This window comes from Homo sapiens, chromosome 15 (assembly GCF_000001405.40).
Source record: "Homo sapiens chromosome 15, GRCh38.p14 Primary Assembly".
Taxonomy (NCBI): domain Eukaryota; kingdom Metazoa; phylum Chordata; class Mammalia; order Primates; family Hominidae; genus Homo; species Homo sapiens.
Window position 1 is genome coordinate 57,528,419 of NC_000015.10, and position 23,771 is coordinate 57,552,189.

The window sequence follows — 23,771 nt, forward strand, 5'->3', positions numbered from 1 at the left end:
CAAATAGAATTTGTAACCTAATAGGTTGCTGCCTGTAGCTGGAAAACCTCCTCTTTTTACAAAAAGGAAAGTAAGGCCCAGAGGGAGGTAGGACTTGCTCAAGGTCTTCTGATCTCCCATATTGTGGGAGTCCAGCTGATCTTCCTTTTGGTGGGGTCAGCCTGTGCACTGTCTGTGGAGGTCTCTATGCTCTTGATGCACCCCAGAAAACCATCCCAGCTGTCTCTCCTCCTAGATGCGTCTGATGGAGGAAGAGTTACGGGACTACCAGAGAGCTCAGGATGAAGCACTCACAAAAAGGCAGCTTCTGGAGCAGACGCTGAAGGACCTGGAGTATGAGCTGGAAGCCAAGAGTCACCTCAAAGATGACCGCAGCAGGCTGGTCAAGCAGATGGAGGTCTGTGGGCCGTACAGTGTGAGCTGGGGGACCTGCAGAGAGCGAGGCTGGGCCACGAGAGAAGCAGCCTCTTTGCTCTCAGCTCAGCCTTTGGGAAGTCTTGGATTTTTATTCTCTCCCACAGCTGGGTGTAGTGAGGTTATTTCTTGATTGAAGGAAGGGGCCAGTCATTTATAGACTCAGGACATCAGAGCTAGAAGGAATGATGGATATAAATTAGTCTAACATTCTCATTGTCTTGAGAGGAAATGGAACAGATTCTCAGGGACATTAGGTGATTTTGCCTAAGGGCACAGATAGTTCCTTTTCTGTTTGTTCTTTGGGGCAGTGCTTCCAGCTAACTAGAAGGAACCAGACTGCTGCATGTCCAGAGAGGAGCCTCCTAGGAATCATCATTCTTCATTTGCCACACCACATTCTCCATTCTTGCTTCCTGTTTCTGGCCCATTTTCCCTTAGAGGTTATTGGGCTTTGCCAGAGCTCGCAGCACACTGTGGCTCAATTTACTGTGGTATACATAGTATGTACATAGTCCAAGACAGCATATCAGAAAGTGCTGAATGCACTCACCAGATGGGGGTGATCTAGTCACAAGCTGAAAACACCACATATTAGAAAAATGTAAATGAAGTAACAGAATCTAAGTGTGAACAGTTCACTGAGGTTGACAAGAAGAACCTTAGAATCACTCCATCTGAACTTTTAAAAAAGAATAATTCTTAGGAGCAAAACTAACCCCCAGAAACACACACACACACACACACACACACACACACACACACACACACACACACGCCCCAGTAGAATTTAGAGAGAGGGAGAGACACTGAAAAAATGGAATTGAGAGAGACACTAAAAAATAGTCTCAGTCTTTTCAGAGAAGTTAAAATTGTCAAAGTTTTGATAAAAGACAGTGCTCAAGGCCATGGAGAGATGGCTTAAATTCAAAATCAATGGAATTCCTGATTCAACTTTGCAAATAAACAGAAATAATTTTCAAAACGTCCAGGGGACTTAGTAGCTGTTTATATCTAGGGAGTGTTGTTTAAGTCATTGAAGATTTTATTAGATGGGCCTCTTTTAGAGACTAGAATAACCTGATTACAGTTTTATTGCTCTTTTGTTGGACTGCTGTACATTTTGCTAATGTCCTGGCTCTGATCTCTTTAGGGGAGGTAATTCTAAGGCAAGCTAAGGTCAACCCACTTAACTAGAAACTGATTATTCTAGGGCCTTAAACAACCTGGCTCAAAACAAGCTAAAGCCCCTTCAGGCAGTGGAGGAAGAACCTTTGGAGTAATGGCCCTGGCCGGCACCCTTAACACTCCTGCTGGGTTCTGTGCAGTATGGCTTTTAGGCAAGAAGACAGTCTTATAAAGAGGTGCTTTTAGCTGGTGATTGGGTTGTTAGGTCATTTCCACTGCTATATCCTGACTAAAGAGATCGTTTCCTTTGGCCGACTTAGGTCTAGAAGGAGTGGCATAGCTAAGCTTCATTTGCCCCTTTGCAATATTTAGCTATTTTCTCATTAATTACAAAATGAATGGCTCTGAAGACCCTGCTACCATGAGATGCGCTTGAGGGGTGTTTCGTCCCCTAAGAGGCGGCAAGCAGGACCGTCTTGCTGTGACTACGTCTTGCCTGCTCCTTCACTAGCACTTAAATTAATTTTCAAGACTCAAGAGCTCTCCTAACGACGGACATTTTCTGTAAACTCAGGTGGCTGTTGTATGTAAATGCAGCTCTTGTGGATCCTGAGTGATGTCTGACTATAGTGAGACTGGTCTTGGAGGCATCAGGAACCACTGAATAAACAGGAGGCTTCGGTGCAGGGCCCAGCTCCAATCCAAGTTGGCCTTAGAGATGCTTGGCTCCTGGGTGAGGGTTTTCTAACTTCCCTATAGGTTTTGATCACTACCTGGGGGCCGTTCACAGACAGTCACTCACTCACAAGAATCCTGGGTGTTTTATTGTGATAAATAGAATAATATTTAGGGATAGAGGTGCCCATTGCTTGTCAATCCACTTTGGCAATTGCAGAGACAATATTTATATACAAATGCTGCAGGTTCACATTTAAAACTTGGAATGCCAATTGCTTTTTAGCATTTGTGGCTCTGAGTTTACTTAGACCTATGACAGATTGGCTGGTGACAGGAGAAACACGTGCTCAAGGCTGACAACCCCCAGTTGTAAGTGGGGTGGTTTGTGTTAGAAGCCTCTTTTCTTCATACACAAAGCTGCTTTGAAATGTTTTTCTCTGAACACTCAATTAGGTTAGATTAGGAGCCAACAAAGAAACCACCAATTATTATTCTGAAGTGATGATGAGTTTAACAGAATTGGTTAGCACTGTCTTTTGGTTAATCCAATGCAGGTTTGGGAGTGCATCGTGCAAATGCATGCTGTTCCTTAGAAGGCTTAGAAGGCTGCTGTAGATTGACTCCTGCAAGGCTCTTGCAGACAAAAGATTGTCCGGAGCGTCAAGTGTTTTTTCCACATTGTCTTTTAACAGGCACTGGCTTGGGTAGATCTGTTTAAAGTTATTGATTCACAGGGAGAAACAGAGACTTGACAGAAACATGCTCAAATATCCTTAGTGTTTGCATTAGGGTTTGGGATAATGTTTTTTCTTCTTTTATGTGTTTTCTACATAAACATTTTATGTTACACATTTTACATTACAAGTCATGAAACACATAGTTTAAGAAATATCTGCTTTGGGCAATGTAAGAAATAGATATATTGTTTTTCCAAACTCTAATGGTAGTTAGCTCTCATTTGCCCTTAGGATTGTTTCTCTGTGGGGGAGCCTTTGCTGTTAATCCCGGTCAGTGCAAGTTAAGTCAACTGTGTTTGTGATTTCCTTCTTAGGACAAGGTGTCTCAACTGGAGATGGAACTGGAAGAAGAGAGAAACAACTCAGATTTGCTGTCTGAGAGGATCAGTAGGAGCAGGGAACAGGTACTATTCTATAGGTGAATGATGCGTGGATTGTCCTGTGTGAAAAAGGAACATGAGGGGTTAATCCTGGGGCTTCAGTTAAGTCCAGGAGAGAAAAATTCATGCCATCTAGAAATTGATGGAAGATTGAATAGTCATCACCATAGTGAGCTTCTAGGAGAGACTTTGACCAGATTACTTGTATTTTAGATTTTAAATTTTACTCCTTGGTCAGATTATTTCCTGATCTATACCTAGCATCATTTCAAGGTTTTTAGGTTTTGATTTCATCTTTTTCATTAAGAAAGTGCCAATGCTAGTCAAGAAAGAGTGAAGGGCTTTCTAAATGTTGATATACAGTTCGTCTAGCACCATTTCCAGGCTCTAGGCGTACAACTGGGTAAGTTGTCATTAAAAGCACATTCTATCATTAGAAGTTTCTACATGTATCCACAGGTGTCTTGTAAATGAAGGGCTGAGACTAGTGAATACAAATTAATTATCTTTGAAACTGCTGCTGAGTGTTCTGAATCCTCTTCCCAAAATGCTTCCATATTTTATCTGTCAAGTGGTTTGGGCATGCACTGGGGACACAGAAACTAGTTAACAGTACCTCTGTTTCCTCGTGATCTCACTGCTCTCCCCAGATCTCACTTGCCACTCCCAGTCTATCTCAAAGCCCCTCTGAACCTTCACTTAATTAAAAAATGGAAACAGAGGTCAAAAGCCTTTGGATAATACTGCATGTATTATCTGCACTTCGCTTGAGAAATTAGTTCCGTCATCTATAACACGAGCATAACTCTCCCCGATTGTCTCACAGTGTTGTCATAAGGATCAAATGTAAGTGAAACTCCTTCCAAAACTGCAAAAAGCATTCACTTGGAAAGTACTGTTATTGAACGTGAATGCTTCATAGGTGTGTGTACTGCTAATTAACTTGTCAAGGAAAAGGCTGCATCGTAGAGCCTACTTTCTGTTGCACCTAACATGGTGCTGGCTACCACATTCCACACACTTGCTTGTTGAACTAATGACCCTTAGAGCCTCAGCCCTAAAAGGCACTTTTCCCTCTATGGCCAATAGATTGTTATTCATAACCACTTGGGAAACTTCCACTTTCTGCCTTATGTTTTTGTCTTCTTTTTCAAATCTTCCCTATTCCAAAGGGCACTTTCCTCTGGTCTCTTCTGCTTATTCACATGGACTTCCCTTTCCTCGGTTCAGGGTGACCAAGAATTGGAAGTTCCAGAGCTTGGGGATAGCACCTTATGAGCAGGCAGCCCTGCTCAAAGTAGAACGTGAATCCCTGGCTGCTTTTCCGTATTCTTTTAGGTCCCTGTTGATAGATTTCTTTGCAAACAAGTGGGATACTCATGCTCCTTTGCTCCTGAGAGTGAAGAAAGTTGCAACCCAGCTGTGTTCCCTCCACCCTCCTCATGGAGAGTGGGTTCTGTCTGCGTGTTCCCAGGCTATGATTTATCTGGAGCTGCAACAGCTTATCAGGCCAGAGCTGCACAGGTTTAGAGAGGGACCTTCCTGAAAATCAGAGGCCCAGATAGAGAGCTCAACCTTGACATCTCCTCTACTGCCCGCCAGGGTTGTTACTGAAGACTTTGTTTTCTAAGTTCTCTCACTGGAATAAAAGCTGTTTTGTGATGAGCCCCTGCCAGCCTGGCTAAGTAGCGACGTTCCCCCCAGACATGTCAGGATCCGCTAAACATTCACAATGACAAAGGATGTGACCATGGATTTGTTTTGCCAGCGCTTCTTGTGGCTTATGCTAAGAGGAATAGTGGGAAAGCCTGTCATCCTATCAGTAATGAGGCCGTTACAACAGACCTTCAGTTCCATGTTTATATCAGAAACAAAACACAGACATTGAACCAGAACGTGTCTGCTTCCCTTAGCTCAGCTGACAGCCCAACACTGACAGAACTGATCATGCAGAGATCTGGTCCCAGAATTGCTCTGGACACTTCTTTTTCCTTTCAACTGAGCACTTGGATCATGGGGAATAGAACTGCTGTCCATGATGTGGTCAAGGCTAAAAATATTTCCACTAAGCCAAGAACTTGATGTCAGTTTAGGGGGGAAGTTAAGGGAACCAAGGACTTGAAGTAAGTCCAGGGAGGAAGTTAAGGGAACTCACTTGGTCTGCTGGGGAGAGCAGTGGGCTGGCAGTCCCAGTCCTGGCTCCTGCATTAGCCTCATTTACCTCTGGGAGAGTCCCAGCCTCTCTGAGCTCAGTCTCTAAAATCTATCAAAAGGAAGTCATTGATCCAGGTGATCTCTGAAGGCTCTTCTGAATTCTAACATTGCAATGCTGCAAGAAGGTTTCATACATCCAGAAGCGTCTGACTCACCCTTTACTTTCCCCCAATTCTCTCCCTGTATCTGAGTTACATGCCTAAAAAGATGAGTTCCACCAATGTCTATAACCTCTTTCCCTACCAGCTCTCTTTCCCTCTTCTGTTTTCTTTCTTCTCACTGCATCATCTGAGATAGGGAGGGTATAGCCTGGTGTTTGTTATAAGTGGAGAAATTGAGCACATTCACATGGACGTAGGAATTGGTAAGCCAATGAAACAGAAACGCTGATGTCTCCTGATTGTGTTCTGAGAGCTTCTCTTCTGGCCTTTGCTGCCTCCTGACTTGTGAGGGAGGGCAGAGAAATGGGTGGGCCAAATACCCGCCTCCCTGGAAAGCATCTCATTCTCATTCAAAGTTGAGGTTGAGCCAAGGCTTATTTCCTGCCTCTTGAAATGAAGGCTCTCTGGGGAGGGCCTTGGGTATAGACAGATGGGCCCTGATTCTGAGCTCTTCTGGTCCACTTAGATTAACTTCTAGGGCCGTGTGCCTGTGCTTTCCTGCTGAAATCAAAGCCAGAAAAGGGAAACTTCAAAACGTAAGGCCGCTTTTCCTCTCCCCCATCAAATGCTGACCTTATGACATCTCCTTAACAAGGACATCTCCTAAAAACAGGAAAGGGTGCTTGTTATCTTGAACCCAAGTAATAACATCGGCCCTGCCTTCCTAGCAAACTGCTACTAGGCACTGAAAAGAGAATGCATGGGATATTTTAGTTTGGTGATCTTGTTCTCTTTAAATTAAAAGGTTCAAACTTAACAGCTTTCTCCTTAAACTCTGAATTCTCACAAGCTCCTTTGCGGAATCTTTGCTTCCCCCAAACATCTCCCACTAGTCTTAGTGATGGGACTTAAGTGAATAAGCCACAAAAAAGGTTTTCCAGCAATATTAGTGAATGGCCAACCCCTCTCATAGACTGTTAGATCTGGCAAGGACCTCAGAGTCCAACTCTCCCCACTTCACTGTAATGGATGAGAGATTTGAGGCCCAGAGTCACCTGGTGATTTGACCACAGTCATGCAGGCAATTGACTGCAGAGCTGGGCTTAGGTCTCAATTTCCAAGGCAGTGCTCTATCTACCCGTGCCTGCAAAATATGATGAATACCTGCTGTGTGCATGGCATTGCAGTAAAGCTCCAAGAGGACCAGAAATGGTCCCTGACCTTGAGTTGCTACAGTTTGTTTGAGGAGATGGGTCAGACCTAAAAAATTGATAACTAACAATAGAAAACAGTGGATACTAAATGCCAAGTAAAAGATTCAAGCAGCTAATGAGGGAAAGACCATTGTTGCAAGAGTGAGTGTGGAAGAATTACTGGAAAGAGGGTGGGGACCTGGGGTCAGCTCTAAAGAAAGGGTAAGACGTGAATAAACCAAGGGGATTGGGAATGGGATTCTAGATAGAAGGAATGGTGTGAACAAAGACTGGGAGGTAGGGACCTATACAGCATTTTGAGGAGCAATGAATGGATGAATGGATGAGTGTGGGTCAATCAGATTTCCAGTTTCCATAGGAAATGAAAGGAGATAAGTTTGAAGAGGCAGACTGAGGGTGTTGAATGGCTCTATTGTGAAGGCAGTGGGCAGCCATCGAAGGCGATTGAGCACAATAGTGAAGCATACACTGTGTTCTAGAAGACTCATGCGCCAGGGGTGGGGGTGAGGACTGGAGAAGGGGCGACTGAGAGGAGGCCTCAACTGTGCTGTTACCAGGGCAGAGGACAAGGAAGGCTGTGTAAGATGGTGTATTTGACCCTTTCCATGCCTCCATTCTTTCTTTCTCTTATGCATACATTTGGCACTCACTAAATGCTGGCCATGTTGTTTATAAGTTCCCAGCCTGTATTAGTTCGTTCTCACACTGCTATAAGGACATACCTGAGACTGGATAATTTATAGAGGAAAGAGGTTTAATGGACTCACAGTTCAGCATGGCTGGGGAGGCCTCACAATCATGGCAGAAGGCAAAGGAGGAGCAAAGGCATGTCTTACATGGCGGCAGGCAAAAGAGTGTGTGTAGGGGAACTGCCCTTTATAAAACCATTAGATCTCATGAGACTTATTCACTATTATGAGAACAGCACAGGAAAAACCTACCCCCGTGATTCAGTTACCTCCCACTGGGTCCCTCCCACAACACGTGGGGATTATGGGAGCTATAATTCAAGATGAGATTTGGGTGAGGACACAGCCAAACCATATCACAGCCTTTCTAAGGGCTTCCTTTACATGCTCAGGACAATATTATTCAGAGTGATGGATTCAGGAAATCCTAATTGAGAGAGAAACGTTTTTCAAACCTCTTGGATGTTTGGACTTTGTTTTCAAGTCTGACTGCTATGAAGGAGAAGGGATGGATTTGGAGTTGATAAAATGATATCTTCTTTATGAAATAGAAGTAAGGAGTATCTGTTTTCTCACCCAAGTATAGTCCCATCATATACAGAAAGGTTTCTGATTGGCTTATAAGTTGAAAGAAGTTGAAGTTGCTGGCGTTTGGTCTGTTTAAATCCAGAGTAATCCTTTTTCCTTTCCGTCCTCCAAAAACCATGTTTCCATTTATGACAATTGCCATCCTTACCAATGATTCCCTAAGTGCTAGGCACTGTGCTGGGTGCCTCACTCACTTTCTTGTTGTTTTCAGGGCTTTCAAGGTGAAGTGACTACATAGGGTCACACAGTTTGTAGGAGGTGGAGTCACAGTTTGACTCCAAAGCCTCTTGCCTATTCCCATCGTCCCTGAATGAGACTATGTCATGGTCTTAAAGACCACTCCTTCAAATGCATTTGGGTCTCCATTCCCAAGTTAAAAGTGGTGTTTCTTAAAATGGGTGAGGAGTTAAGTTCAGCTGATCCTCTCCTGATTCTTTATGAGTGCAGGATTCAAATAGCCAAAGAGAGGTCCGGCTTCATATGCTTTAAATTAAAGGCCAATAGGCTGTTGTGCTGGCTCGATAAGCACTGCTGCAAATGCTTCACAGCAGAGCTGGGCCTACATGGGAAGGCGTTCTCTTGGCTATGGAGACCATGATGACCCAGCCCAGTGGAGAGATGACTCATCAAGCCCAGGCAGCTGGCAGGCAGGAAAAATACCAACTCGAGCTTTGGGTGGCTTCATGGTCTCTCCAGGGACTGAGCAAGGCTGCCTTGTTGCCTCGGCAACTGCAGGATTAAATGCCAGTGATAGAGTTGTGGGCTCCTACAGTCACTTTCGGGAACTGCTCCTCAGTCAGCATCAGGGGTGCCACCCCTGCTAAATGGGACCGTCGTCTTTGCAGTTGTGAGTGAAAGATCAGAGGGGGGTTTTCTTCTTCTTTTTTTTTTTAATTGAAATGCTCCTAATCTCAGAACTGCCTTTTATTGTATCAGCTGCTCAAAAACCCAGTGTGTACAGTTGATTAATAACAATTTTCCTTTTTTGTGGTTATTATTTTTAATGCCAGCCAGGAGTGTGGGCTTGCCGACCTCTTTACAGCCCAATGATAAACACAGGTGATGGGGTTCAGTATTGTTATTGGCCATCACAAATAGCTCTGGCTTTCCATTAACCCAAAAGGCAGCTACTTACAATTCTGAGAGCTGGCTCAGGTCATGGGTATCTCTGACATAAAACCCACTGGAATCTGATACTGTGATTTCTGATCAAAATGCTCAGGGCTTAGCATTCTTTCAATCCAGCTGTGATATACTTTTGCCTTCAGCTCCTGTTCTGTTTTTAATTTGACTGGAAAGTTTTTGTTTGTGCTATTTAATGTAGTTGAAGGGTAAACAACATAGAAAGCACTAAGCTTATATAAAGAAATACTTTCCCAGCCTTGAGTTTACTCTTCTCTGGTCCAGGAGGCTGGCTCAGCCAAGCCATAGGTTTTTCCCTCCTCCCCGCCACCCCCCGCCCCAGGGCAGGTGCCAGTGTGGGCTCAGGGTAAGAATTTGATTTACGATATTCCCAAGTCAAGGGGCCTAGTCCTGGGATCACTGCACTGAGGACAGCTAACAGCAGGGACACATAGGATACTTCTGGGTTTATGTTGAAACCCATCCTTCTTGGGGCATTGTCCATAATACCACATAGTATTTCTTGTATAAGGCTCCACATGGTGGATTTACTTTAGAATTTCATGTCAGGCTGTCCTTTGAAGAACAAAAGGAAGCCTATTATGTTTGCCAAAAGCCTGGGTTTGCAAAGACTGAAGGAAATGGACTGCCTGCTCAGGTCACAGTAACTGTTAAGTTTTATGGCTACACATTTATTCCTTCCTGTTCTTCACTCTGATTTATTTTACATTTCCATTTTAATAGCCATCTTTTAAGGGGCTATGGTGGGGGATAAATAATTCCTTTTTTTGCCCCCCTTTGGAGAGTCACCATTATCCTGGGGCTCTCCAGGGGCCCTCCAGGGAGGTCTTGAACCTGTGGGGACCCTTGGGGATGCTGCCATGCTAAGTGCTGCTCTGCACAGGGAAGTCTGTTTCCTGGTGGGATCCAGATTTTTCAGACATTGGCACTGAGGGTGCAAGACTGTGGCCAGTGGCTGCTGCTTTATGTGGCAGGATTTGTCCTGAACCCCCAGGCTGGGCCCAGGGCTGCGTGACCACTTGGCCATCCTGGAATCCCTCCATGCGCTCTCTGCACTCTGCCTCACTCCACCATAGACACGTTCTCCTTCTGGGCTCCACAGTCCCGGTCTAAACTCTCCTTGTGGGTCTTCTTCCTTTATTGAGAGTCCTAGGTCCTACAGGTTTGCGAAGACACAACGGGGAGGGGAAAAAAGAGTGTATGAGTTTTTGTCAGAAAACCTAGGTTGGAATCCCAAAGCTGCTTCCACCTAACTCTGACTCAGAAGCTGTTTCTGGACCTCCCACCTGGAAACTCAGGGTGATAACATCTGCCTCGGAGAGTTCCCGCCCAGCGCCCAGCTTGAGGGGCTCTTGATTCTTGGTGTTTCCCCTCTGGGTCTCCTGGCCGGGAGCACAGCTGCAGAGCGATGCCTGCCTCTGCTCTGCTGGCCGTTTATTGTCTTCTGGTATTTTTCAGGCGCACACTCCACAGCAACTAGATTTCTTTGTCTCTCTACAAGCCTTCAGTTTTTCTTTATCCCTTCACTTTTCGGAAAATAATCTACCTTCCGTCCCTTTCTTGCCTCTACCTTCCCTTTGAGCTACAGGCTCCTGCCTTCCACCAAGCCCTGGAGGATCCTCTTCCTCTCCCCACCCACATTCTGACCCCAAGACAGGGCTGGATCCTGTCCCTCCACTTGCTGGGTGGCTGCTCTCCTGTGACACTCCCTTCTCGATGTCCACTGGTTGTGACTTTTCTCTCCTCTGTGGCTTCTCATTGACACCTAACAATAGGTGTGGGCATTTCTTGCACACCCTCGTGCCCCCTCCAGCCCTGGGTCATAGCTGCTGTCTTAGTCGCTGCTGGATTCCAGAGGAGAAGTGTGGTGTCTATTCCCACCTCTTCACCTCCAGCGCCTCCTCTGAGCTTTGCAGTCAGGCTCACCTCTCTGCAGACCCTTCCAGAAGCAAACTTGGTTCTTGTCCAGCCTGTGTGCTTTACCGGCAGTCCTTGCCCTTCTTGCCTTTTGGGATAGATCCTGGATTCTCCCTGCCTCCCCTGACATGGGGGGTTGGAGGGGATCCCCAGGGCACAGCTGCAGATCCTCCTTATTCTTTATATATTGCTCCTTGGTGGGCTCACCTGTTCTGTGGCTTCCACCGGCATCGCCCAGTTGGCCCCACATGCATCACCAGGAGGAATCTAAGCACAGATGGGGATGTTAACACTGCCTACCTCATTGGTGGTGGCCAGGAGTAAATGAGATAATACTATTCAAATCCGCAGGACTTGCTTTCCTAAGCACAATAAATCTGTGAGCAGCTGTCACAGTATGATTTTGGGTCCTGTGTGACTACTCTCTGTCTTCCTCTCCACCCAATCCATCGATTGCTTAACCTGCCCCCTCACCTCCCTCATATGGCTAATTCCTTCCAACACTGCCCTTCTCTTTCTTACCTCCTACTCTGTGTTACTGGTGGTCTGCCCCCTTCCGGTTTTGAAAGCTGCATTCCCTACCCTGCCCATTGTATTAGCCTGTTCTCATGCTGCTAATAAAGACATACCTGAGACTGGGCAATTTATAAATGTTTAGTTGACTCACAGTTCAGCATAGCTGGGGAGGCCTTATGATCATGGCTGAAGGTGAATGAGAAGCACAGTCATGTCTTACATGGCGGCAGGCAAAAGAGACCATGTGCAGGGGAATTTCCCTTTATAAAGCCATCAGATCTCATGAGAATTATTCACTGTCACAAGAACAGCATGGGAAAGACCCGCCCCCGTGATTCAGTTACCTCCCACTGGGTCCCTCCCATGACACTGGGGATTGTGGGAACTACAATTTAAGATGAGATTTGGGTGGGGACTCAGGCAAACCATATTACCCTTTTTTCTACCCTGTCTATCCCTGATCTCATTTAGGTTTCAGCTTACTGTCTGTGTCCTGGAAGCTTTTGCTGGCCCTCTGAATCTGGGCAGTCACCCAGTGCACCCACCCCAGCACACTGTCCTTTCCTGTCATAGTGACACTGACCTCTTATGCAGGGCTCGTTCATTTGTCCCCCACTAGGCTATATGGAGAGCGGGCACTTTCTGGGTCTCTTTGTCACAATGTCCTGCATAAGACACATCATGTCGTTTGAACAGCGAACAAACCCATCCTATCGTTCTGAGACTACCCTTGCCCAGCACACAAGCGTGTGCACTCGCAGACACATGCTTGCTCTCATTATGACAATGTGGGTTTTCCCCAGGGGAAACTCCTAATGGTTGAGAGACGGGGTGGCTGCTCTGCCTAAGGATGGAGGCAGGCGCCTCTGGCTTCCTCAGAAGGGTGCCACACAGTACCCTGAAGGGTAGAGGAGGCACCAGGTTGTGCTTTTATTGTATCATTGGCCAGCTCGGGGGCCCTTACAGCGTGTCTCATTCAATCAAGTTCCTTGCTTAGGAGCCTGTATCCCAGAAGTTAGATCAACAAGGTCACAGGTGAGGGACAGACAGAGCCAGCAGGACAAGTTAGGCCACTGCTGTTTTTCTCTGTAATTGTTTCCCATTGCAGTGGAAATTTAACCATGTCCTCAGTGAAGTGCTGGGCCCTGCCCTGGGCACATGAACAGAACGGCTGCCCCTGGGAGGCACGTCTGTCCTCAGTCCCGTGGCCCAGCTGTTCTGCTGACCTCCATGTGTGAGGTGTCAGTGGCTGGTTCAGAAACCACCTTGGGAGCAGGGCCGTGAGCCTGCATTCATTCCCCTTGCACTTTGTGCTGGGGTAACAGTAACAGCAATTGTTCTGGTGCCCTCTTTGCAGTGTGTGATTCGTGAGGGCCCTGGGGCCCAGCAGAGTGGGAGCGGGCCTGAGTTGGGTGGACGTGCCCTGCCTGCTGGTCCTGGCCACTGCTGGCATTTTTCCCTTCTCTATGCAAGATGCCCTAAGGAGGCTGGACTGCCCTTCTGTGCCCGGATGTTTATGCTACAGCTGCATTTGAACTCTAGGCCTATTGGAATCCTTTTCACTTAGATGGTCCAGAGACAGAGCCATGAAGTAATGGGCAGTGCAGGGGCTCAGCCTGTCTCTAGCCCTGCTCCTGAGGTTACTTGCATAACCGCTGCCGTAGGCCTCAGTTTCCTCTGCTGAACATTCTGAACCTCCATGATTTAGATGCCTGCCAGTTAGGAATTTTAAAATGTGAGCATTTTCTTTGGACCACCTGGTACCCCCTCACCTAGGGGCAGAGGCCCAGCTTCCCCCTGTGGTGTTGGAGGCCTTTGTGTCCCAACCCTGCCTGTCCCACCAGCATCATTTAGCCCCCTTCCCCGTTGCCCACTCTGGGCCAGTGACATCATGCTGTGTGACACACCTCGGTCAGGACAAGGGGAGCCAGGGAGCAAATGCAAGCCTGGCCCAATGTGGGATGTCTCCTCTGGCCATTCCTGGGACCCCAGTTCTTGCTCTCCATGGGGGACAGTGAGGAAGGGGTGAGCTTATCTTTTACTCACTGGGGTGCTTGTACAGGTGGCGAAATTCAACTTGAGGCCAGGCCAAGTAAGCCTGTGTCAGATGCTCTCCAGGCCCTGGTGTCTGGGGCTGTGTGTGTACCTCTTAGCCACGTTGGATCCTGGAATTCGTTTTCATCCTTAAGAAGGAAAAGGTGGTTTTATTTTACTGGCTTAGCTTGATTCTTCTGGCTTCTTCAGGCTGCCCTCTGCTGGACAGTTCTGGCAACAGGGTCTGGAGCCTCCGCCTCATAACTCATTTTACTCTTGCACAAGCCACTGGGAATTGGGAGAAGAGATGCTGATGGTCAGGCGATGGGATTTCTTCCCTGGTGCTACACAGCGAGGCTCCTTTCCTGAGCATAGAGGAAACCCTCAGGAGTGTTCAGCCTTTGTCAGGTCGTCTGATGTTGCTCAGCATTCTTACTGACTTTTGTTTCTGGCATAAAAAAGGAGAAATCTAGCAGTGTCTGAGATATGCTCATGGCTCTGGGAAGCCGCTTCTGGAGTTTGAGCTTATAATGCAGCAGTCAGGAGCACAGGTGAATGCTAGCTCCCCCATTCCTCGTTATGTACCTCTTGGGGAAGTTGAGTGACTGACTCATCCTGGTTCACCTGGGACTGTCCCAGTTCAGCATGGAAACAGCCTGAGAACATCCTCAGTCCAGGCAAACTTAGACAGTGGGTCACCCTGCAAGTTGATTGACTTTTGGAAGCCTTAGTATCCTCAGAGAGATACTGTTAGCTCCTTCTGAGGGTTGTTTGTGAGTGTCATAGGATCCTACCTGTGGAGTCTAAGCAGGTGTGCCAATTTTCTAGGGCTGCTGTAACAAAGTAACACAACCTGGGTGCCTTAAAACAACAGAAATCTATTGTCTCATGGTTCTGGAGGCCAGAAATCTGAAATCAGAGTGTTACCAGGGCCATGCTGCCTCTGAGACCAGTAGGGAAATGATTCCTTGCCTCCTCCTAGCTTCTGGTGGTTTCTGGCAATCTTTGGTAATCACTGGCTTGTATACCCATCACCCCAATCCTCCATCTCCACTTCCCTGTGTCCATCTTCACGTGGCCGTCTTCCCTGTGTACGTGTTTGTCTCTGCATCCAAATTTCCCCCTTTTAAAGGACACCAGCCATACTGGATTAGGGCCCACCTTAATAATCTCATTTTTAACTTGATTACCTCTCTAAAGTCCCCATCTCCAAATAAGGTCACGGCAGAGGTACTGGGGATTAGGGCGTCAACATATCTTTTTGAGGGGACACAGTTCAACCCCTAACAGCAGGGCTAGCTTTGACTCTTACTGTTATTTGTATTACCAGTATTGCAATCATCAAGAAACCAAGAAAGAACTAAGAAACAGATCCCGTACCCCAGAGCAGATGGCACGAGGGGCTGGGTAGGGCAACCCCCTTCATAAAGTGGAGGTTGACATTCAGTTCCTTGCCACCATTTCAGTACAAAAGATACAGGAACAGTCCTTCTAACCTCTGGGCTTTTGTTCTGCTTGCTGTAGATGGAGCAGTTGAGGAATGAGCTACTTCAGGAGAGAGCTGCGAGACAAGACTTGGAGTGCGACAAGATTTCCCTGGAGAGGCAGGTGAGGGCAGCCAGCCTGTGAGCTGCCCCCCCGTCCATCCGCTAACCCTCCCCCACTTCACTGCTTTGAACTAGAAGCCCTTGGAGGTCCCTCCTTTACTTGGCATCCCAAGAACTCTGGGGGGTAACAGTCCTTTTCCAGAGTTGTTTTTCCCGGTCATATGAAATCTGCATGGAAGCTTGGCAGCTGAGGGAGGAGGAATTGCATGTGTTATTTTCTAGATCCTGAAGAGGGCTAAATTCTAATGTAAAGAGAATGAAAAAGAATCCACGTCATCAAACACATGAGTGGCTCAGAAAACTTCATCGGGTCATTATTTCTTTTTCATGATTTCTGTTCATGTTCTTCACTGCACAGGACTGGCAAAGGAGCCTATTTCTCCTGTCCCCCTGTAGGTTTATAGGGCAAGGCAAAGCCCGTTTGACATCCGGGAGTCTTAGGACATGGCAAAGGTTTCATTCAGGCTTATGAGGGAGTGTGATAGAACTTCTTCTTCTGGCCTGCAGCTGAGTTCAGGGGTTTTCCTTGGAAACATCTCTGTGTTCCCCAGGTCTCCAGGCCACAGGCCCTGGTGTGGAAAGCAGCCTCATCGCATGCAGCGACCAAACACCAGGTTCTGCCCCATATTCTTCGCTGCTCTGCACAGAGCGTGGCAGACACATAGCCCCTCACAGTCTCCCTGTGTTGTTCCAGAACAAGGACTTAAAGAGCCGGATTATCCACCTGGAAGGTTCCTACAGGTCCAGCAAAGAGGGGCTGGTTGTGCAGATGGAGGCCAGGATCGCGGAGCTGGAGGACCGCCTGGAGAGTGAGGAGAGGTGAGCCGGGCCCACCCACTGCAGTGCGGAGGCCCCAGTGGGCAGTGACAGTCCCATCGCAATGTGTTGTCACATTTGGGATCTGTCCTGATCCTCGTAGCCTGTGAGGAAGGCAGAGCAACTACACCCTTACTTTTATTATTTCCATTTTATAGGTGGGAAAACAGAGACCCATCAAAATAAGTGACTTGAGTAAGGTAGCCTGGCTGGATACTGGTGTAGCTGGGTAAAAGTTTAGGACCCCCACTTCTCAGTCTATGGTGGTGCCACTGTACTTGCTGTCCCTTTTCCCGTTCTCTAAATAGGACAGGCTGCCTTGGAAGCTACAGAGTTTGAGCCACGTTAGAGGCCAGAAGGCTGACTCTGCCCTGGCGGCCAGGTGTATTTAAGCAGAGGCTGACTAGCCACCAGTCAGAGATGGGGCAGGTCCTCCCGCAGTGTGTGGGAGGGACATGGGATCAAGTGAGCACACTCCTTTCCAGCAACTCAGTTCTCTGCAGCTAACTCTCTAATGGCAGCCCGAGGGCCAGCACCAGGTTCAACTTGAGCAGCCTTCCAGCAGTCGTTCTGACTCACAGCCCCTCACCTTCCTAGAAGGAGCGTGGTGTGCCGGCATTTGACACTTTACATTATCTATTGTGTTAGTTGGACTTTTGGGGAGTCAGGCCAGAACAGCCTGGAGTAGACCCAAGACATCTGCAGTTTGTGACTTCTTGCCTTACAAAGTAAAGCTCAGAAACTCCGGGCAGGTCGAGCCATGGCTCAGCCCCTTGCTGGCTCTGAAGCCTTGGGCCAGTCACTCCCCTTCTCAGAGCCCCATTTCCTCACGTCTCTCACAAGCAGCTTTTTCTGCTGTGAAGTTGTGTTTCCCTGACCCTAAGCCTTGAGCTGACCAGGCACCCCTGGCTGGAGCTTCCCCTCCTCCACAGCCTAGGCTGGGCCCCCTGCAGGGATGGGAGTGAGAGGGTTCTTGGTTCTGTCTCCCCTCTTCCAGGGATCGGGCCAATCTTCAGCTCAGCAACCGGCGGCTGGAGCGGAAAGTGAAGGAGCTGGTGATGCAGGTGGATGATGAGCACCTGTCATTGACTGATCAGAAGGACCAGGTGGGGAGCCTCTGCGTGCATTTGCTCTTAGATGAGATTGCGTGTCTCAGGCTGAGGGAGCAAGGGAGGCAAGGCCTCCCTGAGCAGGAGTGGAGTGTGAGTGGGCTGATTCCTCCCTTTCCACGCACCCAGTCACATCATCAAATGGGGGCTTCTTGCCTACGTAATTAGGGGATATCAGCAAATTCTACACCCTGAGTTTGGCTTTAAAGAGTCACCCTGTCTTAGTGCCTGCTCTCCATGTTTCCCAAGAGACTGGCTGCCCCATTGCCCATGTCTTGGTTGCCTGGGGAGATGGTGGCTGGACCTGGGGTAAGCTGAGCGCTGGGGCTGGGCCATCAGCCGGCACTCAGCCCACATTCTCTCCCGGTGCAGCTGAGCTTGCGTTTGAAAGCCATGAAGCGGCAGGTGGAGGAGGCTGAGGAGGAAATCGACAGACTGGAAAGTTCTAAAAAGAAGCTGCAGAGGGAGCTGGAGGAGCAGATGGACATGAATGAGCATCTGCAGGGGCAGCTCAACTCCATGAAGAAGGACTTAAGGTGGGCAGGTGTGGAGGCCACAGAGGGCCGGGTAATCTCCCCACAGTTGAGACAGGCTCTGCTTTCAGAGCATTCACACTCCTGTTGTCTCAAGCCAGCTCCTCATTGTTGCTTTTGGGGTTATCGTATCTTAGAGATGAAGGTGGCTGTGTCCACTTTAGTCACCTTACATGGGCAGTAGGGTCTCATGCATGTCATTCTTATACCAATGCCCCAATGCCAGCTGAGCTGGGTAGATATCATCCCTGTTGATCATAAGGGGAAACAGAGGCTTAGGGCAGATAAGACTAGCTCACACCATCATGGAGGGGCAGTTCCTGGGCCATCCTGGGCTTTTTTCTGACTTAGGGAGAAATAAGGTGAAGTTCTGGTTTGTATCCTCAAGAGGACTAGGATTCCCCAAGCCTGGTTTCCAGGAGAGAGCAGCTCTCTGAAGCTGTCTGCCGTGGTCCTAAGGATGGGGACGTGGAATGCAGGGTTGGGGACTTTGTGGGTTGCTTTTTCTGCTCTAGGGTCTCTCCCCGGGGTATGAGGTAAGGTTCATGAGATTAGGTTCATGGTAATCCATAGAGCTGAGCCTTTCTTGGAGGCTGGCTGTGACGTGGGGCTCTTTGCTGGCTGCCCGGGTAGTTCTCATCAATGGACAGAAGGCTCCAGCCCATTGAGAGTCCTGTAAAACAGGGCCTATCAGGTCACTGGCCCCAAGGTTGGCATTAGGGTGCAGCATTTAAGAGGGCACCAAAAATCTCAATAATTAAGATAGATAACATTTTAATGCAATATTTAAAAGATAATGCATGCAATCCATGGTGAACAAGATACCAAAATTTTAAATTAAGACAAGATCAATAATAACAGCCTGGGGAAATCAACAATACTGATCCTATCCCAGCCTGGCCCACCCCACCAGCACAGGCTTTCCGTGCCGAAATGGGGGCGGTGGACTCCCTGTGGCTGAAGGGGCCATCAGGTGGAGACCTGTTACATTCATGTGTTTCTTTTCTGTGCCACTCAGTGGGGTGCAGGGACAGCAACCCAAAACCCTCCCTTTAAGTCCAAATTAGCTATGGGCCCCGGCCCAGGGCCAGGAAACATGCCCCTTGTCATTTCAGCAGACTGAAGAAGCTGCCGAGTAAAGTGCTGGATGACATGGATGACGACGATGACCTCAGCACGGATGGGGGAAGCCTCTATGAGGCGCCTGTGAGCTACACATTCTCCAAGGACAGCACCGTCGCCAGCCAGATCTGAGTGCTCTCCCGGGCTGTGGAAGTACCTGTCATTCCTGCAGGAGCTGCAGCCACCCAAAGTGGGAGGCAGGGAGGGGAGCATCTGTCTGCCACTGAGACCAATCACAGCCTCTTTGCACAGCATGCCAGCTCCTCAGTGTTACATTCCTCGCCAGGGTCTCTCAGTGGGTCTTCGACAGAGAGCTTTTGCAGTTTAAAATGTTGGGATGCCTGAGGACCAGGAGCCACCACCCACTGGGGTGTTGTGAGAGATACACTTTGGTAGGCTGAGGCCCCTGTTCCACAGCCACTATTTGCATTGCTGTCCCTGCCCCCTCATCACTCCCCCTGCCAAGACAAAGGGTCCAGAAGGCTAGGACTTACTTAATAGCACTGTGCAGGGAGGAAACCATGTATAGCTTGTACATATTTTAAACCAGACCTTCTCACGAACTGCTGCTGTTGGGTTTGGAATGTGATGGAGGCTTGGTAGGGTGGCTGGTTTGTAAAGTTCATGCATCTATATTGAGTATTCTTTTTTTTTTTTTTTGAGATGGAGTTTCATTCTTGTTGCCGAGGCTGGAGTGCAATGGCGCAACCTTGGCTCACTGCAACCTCTGCCTCCCTGGTTCAAGTGATTCTCCTGCCTCATCCTCCCAAGAAGCTGAGATTACAGATGACCACCACCACTCCTGGCTAATTTTTTGTATTTAGTAGAGACGGGGTTTCACCATGTTGGTCAGGCTGGTCTTGAACTCCTGACCTCAGGTGATCCACCTGCCTCAGCCTCCCAAAGTGCTGAGATTACAGGCATGAGCCACCACGCCCAGCCATTGAGTATTCTTTTTTAAAATATGAAGCTATTAGATTTTAAGTGTTGAGGAGCAGAGGTGAGAAGAGAGAGAGAGAGAGAAAGTCAAATAAAGTCAAAGACCAGTTTGGAAACCAAAGTTGGAAAAGAAGAATTGTAGTGGTCATGGACAGCTAAGACTGAGCATAGCAGTTCACATGGTCTGGGTAAACAAGTCACTGGCACAGGGGAAAGCCAGAAGGTTGCTTGTGTCTGTGACTGCAGCTATGGCCTTGTTTGCTTAGTTTATCTGGAATTCTGTTATAATTTCTGAACTGTTCTGAGACCTGTTCCCAGTCACTGATTGCAATTTCTTTTACACAGGTTGGGTAGGGAGAGTTGTAGGTAAGGCCTTAAACAAATGAGGCCGTTTCTGGAAGGATAGGGCTGTGTGGTCATGTCCCACAGCAAGCTTTTGGGATCGGGGGAATAAGAGGGTATGGGGGAAAGGTTCATAGACTTAGGTGTGAGAATGAGGTGGGAGGTGTCTGGTAAGGTCATGGGGGAAGGGAGATGAGAGAGGAGATAGGCAGATGTGGGTATGGGGCCCAGTGTGAGAAGGAAGACAGAGAAGTTCTTGAAAGCTGGGGGATGTGTGGGCAAGAGGTGGATTGAGCAGGATCTCAGGGTTATGTCGAGGAAGGGAAGAAAGAAACAGAAGTCAGGCAGAGGCGTGTCTGTGCAAACTGGAGGACTCCTTCCAACTTCCTGGAACAAAGCGACATCGCCAGCAGCAGGCTGGCAGGGAGTGGTTGAGGTCTGGGGGCCAGGCCACATGGCTGGAGAGGAATTTCAGGGAGCATAGCATCGGGAGGATGCTACATATCCAGGGACTCCCTCCTGGCCTTCCTGTGTCACTTCACAATGTGACAGTCCCCAGGCATGCCCACAGGCCAGGCCCAGTCACAGCTGGGCTTCCACAGGTCAGAATATGGGACAGGACATGGTCAGGGAGAGGACCCTGTGAGTTGGTGACATATATGTGGCAGAGATGGTAGTGTTCAGCTGCTTCAGCAGTGTCCCCAACCATCCCAATAGGGTGGGGGCCTGTGGGCCAGAGGACTCCATGACAGTAGCCATGGAGTCCCACCTGTGCCAGGTCAGAGCCCACCCGGCAGGTTTCAGAGTGGTCAGCCCAGTTTAAGGGTGGGAGTCTGGAGCCAGACAGCCAAGCCCCTTCCACATCTACAGGGTCACTGTCATCCTCACCACAGCCAGGGGTGATTCTCACCTCTGCCTGCTTATGTGGGGTGTGGCCGATTCCTCCCTTTAGTCATTCATTCATTTAGCACATATTTATTGGGCATCGGTGATGTGTCAGGCACAGTCCTTGGCACACAGAATACAGCAGTGAATTAAACAGGCAAAAATTCCTCCCCTCCTGGAGCTCAGTGTCAGGAAAGGGGGTGATAAATGACAATCAAATCGACATGGAGGTTGAGCACCTCTGTACTCAGCCCTCTGTCTGTCCTTCTGAGGACGCAACAAGCCTGGTTCCCTAGAGCTCACTTTGACCCTCAATATGTTCATAATTTCCCTGCTGCTTCTCCCATCGTTAGACATCTGCCAGTAAGCCTGCTGAGAGAAGCCTCAGCCCACTCATACCTAGAGACGCTGCTGGGGAAGGTCAGCACACCCAAGAACTTTGGGAGTGTGTGTCTGTTTTGGTTTGTGAGAAAGTAGCTGCCCCTCATTCTGGCCAGTTCTTTCCAGTAGCCATGGGGCTGGCTACAAGAAGCAAAACTGCCCATGCAAAGAGAACACAGGTCACTTTTCAAAACACTTGCATCATTACCCTAAAAATAGGCTGTTATGCGTTTTGACAATTGCGCTATCCTACACTCTGAGGGAGTTGGCAACGCATGCGGTATAGTGGAGTGGGAAGAGTTGAGACTGAAAGTTAAGAGAAGGGTTTTCAAGTCCCGGCTCATCTCACCCCAGTGACTTTGACAGTGTGCTCACTCTCAGAGCCATGGATTACCTGGAACAAAGTGCAGATTAGTGCCCACGGTCCTTTCCAGGTATAACATGCTATCGTTCTTTAATTTTATTATATATACATACTTTTCTTCTGTTTTTTGCTTTAAGAACTAACCCCGATCAAGAGTATTTTCTTTAGCTAGCTTAAAAAGAAAACATATATTTTATGTAAAAACACATACATGGCCAAATGCAATACTGAAGAGACAATCATCCTGTATCTTTTATGGTTTTTCCTGCTTCTGAGTGTCGTTCTACAATGCCCGTTGACTTATTCCATTGCGTCTCTGCTTTAGGGTATGGTTTGGTCGCTTTGGTTGTCATGAGAAAGAGACATTCTCCTTGCAGCTACCTCCATGTGAGTGAATTCCTGGATAAAGCAAGATTTCCTTTCAATAAACGCTGTCACCCAATGGGAATTTTGACTCTCCTGTGATTGTGACTTCTTTGTTTTCTCCAGAGCTTGGCTCTGTGTCCTTTAAGAAACTGCCAAGGTGAGTGGCTGGGAGCTACTGAGGGAAGTGGAACTTGGAGGCCTTCCAGCCCTGGGACCGGTTTCTGAAACAGAAGGGTGGGGACTGGTCAGTGGTGAATGCTGAGGGAATTAATGGCTCTGGATTCTTGTGATGTTCTGAGAAATCCAAACTGCCCGTTCCAGAACATGGCAAAAGAGGAAGCATGTTCAATGTTAATTACAGAATAAGCAGGAGCCCCCTGTTTACCCCTTTTCCTAAATTCGAGGTCTTCTGCAATCCTAGTTGGCCCATAATCTCTCTTGATCTCACACCAGGCCCATAGCAGGCACCACAGTCTCTATTTTACAGAAACCAAAGCAGCTTCCTCATGGAAGGGGACCAATGATGATCATTGTCCTCAGATCTGTCTATTCTTTGCCCTGTCCCCTGGAGGCTGACCCATACAGGCCATGGGTTCCCTGATGGCCACTCTGGTTGGGTTCAGCCAGTGGGAGCAGGTGGAATTCTGGATGTGTCTGCATCACTCCCTGCTCTGTGTGGCACTTTCAAGTGGGCTCCCCTGGGACTTGGGTGATCTCTCCTTCAGCCTCCAGTTCTAAGGGCGGGTCATGGCTTTCTCTTGCTGTTCCTCTCTGGGTCCCTACCTTGGTGGGTTCCTGCCACACTGCCCACCCACCAGAGCAGCCCTTCATTGAGCTGCCGCAGTTCACTGCTGTGTCCTGTCCAGAGCTCTGTCCACAACCGCCTCTGCCTCCAGGTCAATGTGGATGACCTGTCCCTCCAGCTCTCTAGCAGCACTGATTCTCCTGGTTCTAATTGGAAGGGGTAACCTAATGTAAATGAGATTTTTTAATTTTAGTAAATGCAAAGCCTTTGTATAGATTGTTTCCTTTTTTTTTTTTTTTAAAGTCATGTATGATGAGGTACATAATTTTCTAATTTGTAGTAAAAGTCACCCTTTTTAGCATTATTTGCTTTTGTATTTAGGCCTCTTTATTTGGCCCCTCAGCTGAAGTCCTCTTGGTGGAAATGAGATTCTGAGCGGATACCTTTCCCTCACGCCCTCAGGAAGAATGTGACTCAGGAGGCCCAGAGCCAAAGGAAAAACGTCCCCCAGGCCGGCAGTTCATTTCCTTCACATTCTCAGCATTCCTCCTCTGAGCTTGTGGATAGTTACGGGGAGCCTGTCTTTGTTGGAAGACTGTCATTAGCCGGAAATGTTTCTGTTCTAAATCTTCAAATGATTGGGGAGAAATGACTTGACAGGTTCCTCTCAGGGGTGTAACAGCCCCAAATTCAGACGTTCTAGGCTTTGCAGAGGGATCCACATGCCTTGGTCCTGCCCTCAGACCTGCCGAATACACAGGGCTAAAGATTGTCACTGACTTTCACAGGCATGACCAAGGCCCAGCCCA

The 23,771-nt window shown here is 48.1% G+C and overlaps 1 protein-coding gene across 22 annotated transcripts in view, besides 4 other annotated features; it reads left to right on the top strand.

Annotated features, from left to right (window-relative positions):
* Positions 1 to 22,299, top strand: part of CGNL1 (cingulin like 1) — a 174,213-nt gene extending 151,914 nt beyond the window's left edge. For 14 of the 22 annotated variants that reach the window (XM_047433184.1, XM_047433186.1, XM_011522121.3 and 11 more), the window contains 7 exons: positions 236 to 397; positions 3,272 to 3,361; positions 15,278 to 15,361; positions 16,055 to 16,179; positions 17,174 to 17,282; positions 17,658 to 17,821; positions 18,934 to 22,299. In XM_047433184.1, coding sequence (XP_047289140.1) covers positions 236 to 397; positions 3,272 to 3,361; positions 15,278 to 15,361; positions 16,055 to 16,179; positions 17,174 to 17,282; positions 17,658 to 17,821; positions 18,934 to 19,072 — 873 coding nt within the window. In that variant the 3' untranslated portion in view covers positions 19,073 to 22,299. The remainder of the gene's footprint in view (positions 1 to 235; positions 398 to 3,271; positions 3,362 to 15,277; positions 15,362 to 16,054; positions 16,180 to 17,173; positions 17,283 to 17,657; positions 17,822 to 18,933) is intronic. The other 8 variants (XM_047433190.1, XM_047433188.1, NM_001252335.2 and 5 more) reach the window with 1 other exon arrangement.
* Positions 12,038 to 12,377: an enhancer, noted in NCBI's record as "active region_9462". NCBI's record gives its function as "activates an Ori minimal core promoter by ATAC-STARR-seq in GM12878 lymphoblastoid cells {active_cell/tissue: GM12878}" and the evidence as "EXISTENCE:reporter gene assay evidence [ECO:0000049][PMID:35858748]".
* Positions 12,518 to 12,837: an enhancer, noted in NCBI's record as "active region_9463". NCBI's record gives its function as "activates an Ori minimal core promoter by ATAC-STARR-seq in GM12878 lymphoblastoid cells {active_cell/tissue: GM12878}" and the evidence as "EXISTENCE:reporter gene assay evidence [ECO:0000049][PMID:35858748]".
* Positions 17,522 to 18,150: an enhancer, noted in NCBI's record as "H3K4me1 hESC enhancer chr15:57838138-57838766 (GRCh37/hg19 assembly coordinates)". NCBI's record gives its function as "activates a minimal SCP1, AML or CMV promoter by ChIP-STARR-seq in naive H9 embryonic stem cells {active_cell/tissue: H9 hESC(naive)}" and the evidence as "EXISTENCE:reporter gene assay evidence [ECO:0000049][PMID:30033119]".
* Positions 23,293 to 23,587: an enhancer, noted in NCBI's record as "tiled region #1731; K562 Activating non-DNase unmatched - State 21:Repr". NCBI's record gives its function as "activates a minimal TATA promoter and a strong SV40 promoter by Sharpr-MPRA in K562 cells {active_cell/tissue: K562}" and the evidence as "EXISTENCE:reporter gene assay evidence [ECO:0000049][PMID:27701403]".